Source organism: Homo sapiens, chromosome 14 (genome assembly GCF_000001405.40).
Source record: "Homo sapiens chromosome 14, GRCh38.p14 Primary Assembly".
NCBI lineage: Eukaryota > Metazoa > Chordata > Mammalia > Primates > Hominidae > Homo > Homo sapiens.
In genome coordinates this window covers 62,112,691-62,117,356 of record NC_000014.9, presented here as the reverse complement: position 1 = coordinate 62,117,356, position 4,666 = coordinate 62,112,691, and the positions used below count along the sequence as shown (strand labels likewise).

Below are 4,666 nucleotides of genomic sequence, written 5' to 3'. Positions count from 1 at the left end.
TCAGCTCGCATTGGACCACAGGGAGCAGATGTTACCCGGTTGCTAGGAGCGTTGCTAGGAGGCGATGACGCCCCTCCACAGCTCGGGAGCAACTTTCCTGTAGGTCGAGTGCGCCGGCGGGGGCTGCTGGGAGCAAGGTTGAGAGCTGGAACGCCGAGGGGCGGCGAACAAAGAGCCCCGACAGAAGGGTCCCGACTGCGCTCGCCTAAGTTGGGGCCGGCAGAGTGGGTTGGGAGGCTGGGGCTGGGCGAGACTCGCGGGCCCGGGTAGGTGAGCCTCGGTCCCGCGCCTCCCCGGGCAGGTCACTCGCTGCAGGCCTTGGCTCGGTGTCCCCTACGGAGGTCGGGTTTGGGGAGAGGGGTGGGGCGGCACTTTCAGCGGCTGAGGAAGCAGCGGGGTTTGGCTCAGTGTTTTTTTTTTTTGTTTTTTTTTTAAGACCCTGACCCTTCCTCTGGGATACTCTTCGCCTTGGAGTAGGACCCTGAGAAGGGAGAACCGGATGAGTTCGTGGGTGTGACCCGGGGTGAGGCGTTTGGGGATGAGCAGTACGGGATCTTCCGCCTTCTGGGACTCTCCTCCCTAGTGTGTTCGTGTTTGTGTCTGCAGGTTTGAGCACTTGATAGATTCTGAGGAGGGATATGTTAACTAATCCATAAAAATCAGCCCAGAGTCTAATTCCTTTTGGCGTTGTCTGTGGCTGCCTACTGGCAGGGGGCCTCAGATTTAAAAAAAAAAAAAAAAAAAAAAAAAAGTTCTTGTGCTCTAAAACACGTCCTTCACACAATTAGAAAGTCCTCATTTTGGTCCAACAGCTACTTAAAACCTCAGGCCAACATGTAAACTTCTTTAACATGAAAATGCACAAAAGCAAAGGTATTTTTCACAAAGGAGACTAGAGGTGTGCATGATTTAGCACTTTAGTACACTTTAGTGTACATGTACACATTAGTATACATTTCCCCAAATGATTGCATAATTTCTCATATCTCAAGCTATGTTTTCATGTTTTACATTGCTTTTGTTGTTGTTGTTAAATAGGGCTGTTTTCTTGGGGATGGGGGATGATTAGAACATCAAAGTGGGCAATTTGGGTAGCCAGTAAGCCAAATTAAAGAAGGGAAGATGAAAAATCTACTAGAGAAATGTTACCCAAAGCTATCTTCGGAGAGAGAATCGCACTGAAGAAGAGACACATCACTTCCCTGGTTCCCTGTAGAGTCATGCCAGGGCCTGGAAGGAAGAGAACACGACTGGGAATCAATTAGAAAGAAAAGTTGCTGTCTTTGGAGCCAGGGCAGGGCTGCTGTGCAGTGTTATGTTGATTCCTCTGGTGGCTGGCACTCTGTGAGGCTGAAGGGGCTACACCAGCGGCCCCACCACTCTCAGGGCCCCCTGCTTGCTCTCTCAGCACCTACTGAAAGCCTGTGGCAAAGCTAACAGTTTGTTAGCCCTAAGATTTAAAAAGCTGGTAACCTAAAATCGAACTGTCTGAAGAAGTAATAATAAGCCACAGTGGGTTGAAGATCTGATGATAAAGTTTCAGCTATCGGGTATGACAGGGGGCTTTGAGACGGGTACACTTCACATCCAGGAGATGGTCCTAGCCAGAAGTACACCACTGCTGCTTCCTTCTTCGTTGGAATAAGGGCAAGATGCAGCTGATATCTCAATGAGCCTTGTCTTCTTGTCCAGCTCATCTCAAAACACTCTCCTCCTTGCTCTTTAAGGTCCAGTCACGCTGGACTTTTTTCAGTTTCCTTGAATAGGGAAGGGTCTCACTTGCCTAAGGTATTTTGTACATGCTGTTTCTTCTTTCTTAATGTGCCTCCCTTTTACCTGGCTTACTCCTACTCAGCTTTCACGTCTCAGCTTAAATACCACTTCCTCATAGCAGCTTCCCCTGACAGCCTCCCACCGACTACATTAGCCCCCTAATTATGTTCCCAATTCACCCTACCAATCCTATTTCACAATATTCATTACACCAGATTTTAAGCTAGTTCACCTGGTTAACACTGTGTCCCAACTGTCTAGCACACAGTGCCTGGTACATCAAAGGTAACCAAGAACGCCTGGGAATAGATGAATCCACCCTGCCTGGTTTGAGGTCCCTGTTTTCACCTTAGCTACGTAGCTATCAGTTCATGAACTTACACTAACCTTGAAGGCAGCCACTAGTTGCTGTCTTTACAGTTACTCAAGCAGAAGAAGGGAGCTGGGGGAAAGCCTGTTATACAGAAAATAGTTTTCTTCCCTTAATGAGACATTGTGTTTATAAAGTGACTTTTTTTTTTCCTTTTCAAAACATCTTATAAAGGTCACTACCTGCATTTTAATAGCATTGGGAAATACTCACCTAAAGTCATTTATATATTTTCCTAATTCTTGTCTTTCCACACCCTCTAAAGTGGTTGTGAGACCTCCGAGATGAACGGTTTCATTTTTCCTTAAAATACTCCTCTACCTCAGGTAAAAGCAGCCTCCATAACAACACGCTATATCTTATGGAGAAAAAAATGTATTTGGGAGCAGCTAGGTAATTTGACCAGTATGGATGGTATGTCTAGTGTTATACTTTATCTGAATGGACTAGGAAATCTTTACTATTGTCAGTTTAAATCAACAAATAATTGCCAAGTCCCCTCCTCCTCTGGGACTACCTCAAGATATAACAGATGTTGGAAGACACGAAAGAAAGGTCAAGGTAATCCAAGATCACAGGATTCCTTGATGGCATAACTGGAATTAGAAAACAGGTATGATTTTAATCTCGACTGTGTTATTTATGTCTGCATATATAATTGGATAAATTCTGCAATTCTCCTTGTAAGATTAGAATCTTTCACTAAACAATTTTGGATTTTAAAATACATATTAAAATTCCATACTACCTACCTTAGAATCTATCCAAATTCTAATCTTCTCACCACTCAATCTTGTCCCTCCTCGACATGACCATAGATATAATGCCAATCCTGTCTCCTACTTCTTATCTGTTTACTGAAAAGAATCAGATGTTTTATTATGTAGTGGAATGCACATTAAAATTTATCAGCACTGTGAAATGTCACCCAAGCTTCCCCTTGAGCCATATTTCTGAATCTTTCTGGAGCAACCCCAGAGAAACTGTAAGGAGACTATGAAGCTTACAATACATATAATGTGATTTGACTTATTTGACTTATCAATAAAATGCTACACAGCACAATTTTTTAATTACTACAAAAGACAAAAAAAAAAAAAAGAACCAAAGAACCAGAGTCATAGATGGCTGTCTCAATTATTTTAACATTTCAGCATGGGTAAGCCTGTGTTGAAGCAATGCCACAAGATAGCAATCATTTGCCAAGTTTAAGCTCTCCAGATGACATACTCTAAGATTCATATATGGAAAAATGTTTCTTCTGCATTATTCTTCTTTTGCTCATATATTTGCTTTAATGTTTTCAGTATGCCATATATGTATGTACCTACTAGTGCACATACACATGTAGAAATGGTCAATCTTGCTCAGCCTACTAGCTCAAAACTCTTTGCCCTGTGGCTTTGGAAATGTGAACTCAAATAGTCTTTATTTGCAACAATGCTCCTTCAAGTGTTGAAATGGTCTAAGTCTAAGGTGACTATGGATGTAAAAGTACAAGTAGAACCCTTAATCAGCCCATAGTGTTCTAGTGCTGTCATGGGTTAGAAAGAACTTAAGCAACCAATAAGCTTTTCATAAATAGTCACCAGTACCACAACATTTCAAATAATTTTTTTAAAAATGTAAGTATGCCATAACTTAACTGACTTAACAAGAGTCTTACCAATACTGTTTCATTTTCTCGGGCATATAAATAAACTACAATTCCCAGCCTTCTTAAATATAGGTGGACCCATTGGACTAGTTCTGGCCAACGGAGTTTGGGCAGAAGTGAAGAGCAGCACCTCTAAGCCTGTCCCCTAAAACACATCATTTGACCCTCATGGCTTTTCTTCCTCCATTTGCATGGCAATACATTCCTTCAAAGTCCATAAGGACTCTGAAAGGCCAAATCACAAAAGGAGCCTCAATCCCTGAGATACTGCTAGAAAGAAAACTGAATGGCCAAAAACATCCCAGATGAGGGAGAAATAAACCTTTCTTATGTGAGTCAACTGACATTTTGGGTTATTACAACAGGTAACATTACCTCAACTAATACAGAATTGTAAAATTGTTAAAAATTGTCACTGAAACATCTATAGAATTGTATTTCTCTATGCTTTTCTGTTTGGGGGAAGTCAGCCATGTTTTGAGTGCTATGTAGGTGTCCGAATATAATAACTCAGCTCCCTCTACTTCTAGCTTGTTGCATCTGAGCCTTGTTAACTTTTGAGAACTGGGTATTCATAGAGGGGAAAGTGTTCTGGACAAGAGCTTCTCTAATGAGGAATTACATACACTTTTGTACATGAACACCTACACTTTGCAGTTTGCCTTCTCAGAATCCCCTTTAGATGCAATTTAATTAATTCAGGTGATCCTTACATTTATATAGCTCCTTACCTGATGTTCTTCAAGTCAGCATTTGAACTGGTATATGTTGATTTGTATATGTGTTCACCATAAAAGCCTACAGCACCCTGAAACCAAATAAACTGTATGGATCATACATGTAATGCTTATAGTTCTAAAATATAT

The 4,666-nt window shown here is 41.9% G+C and overlaps 1 protein-coding gene across 1 annotated transcript in view; it reads right to left on the bottom strand.

Annotated features, from left to right (window-relative positions):
* Window positions 1-4,531: 4,531 nt before the first annotated feature.
* SYT16 (synaptotagmin 16) overlaps window positions 4,532-4,666 on the bottom strand; it is a 300,664-nt gene continuing 300,529 nt past the window's right edge. The window contains exon 7 of the mRNA XM_047431802.1: window positions 4,532-4,608. The gene's annotated coding sequence lies outside the window, so the exon portion shown is untranslated. The remainder of the gene's footprint in view (window positions 4,609-4,666) is intronic.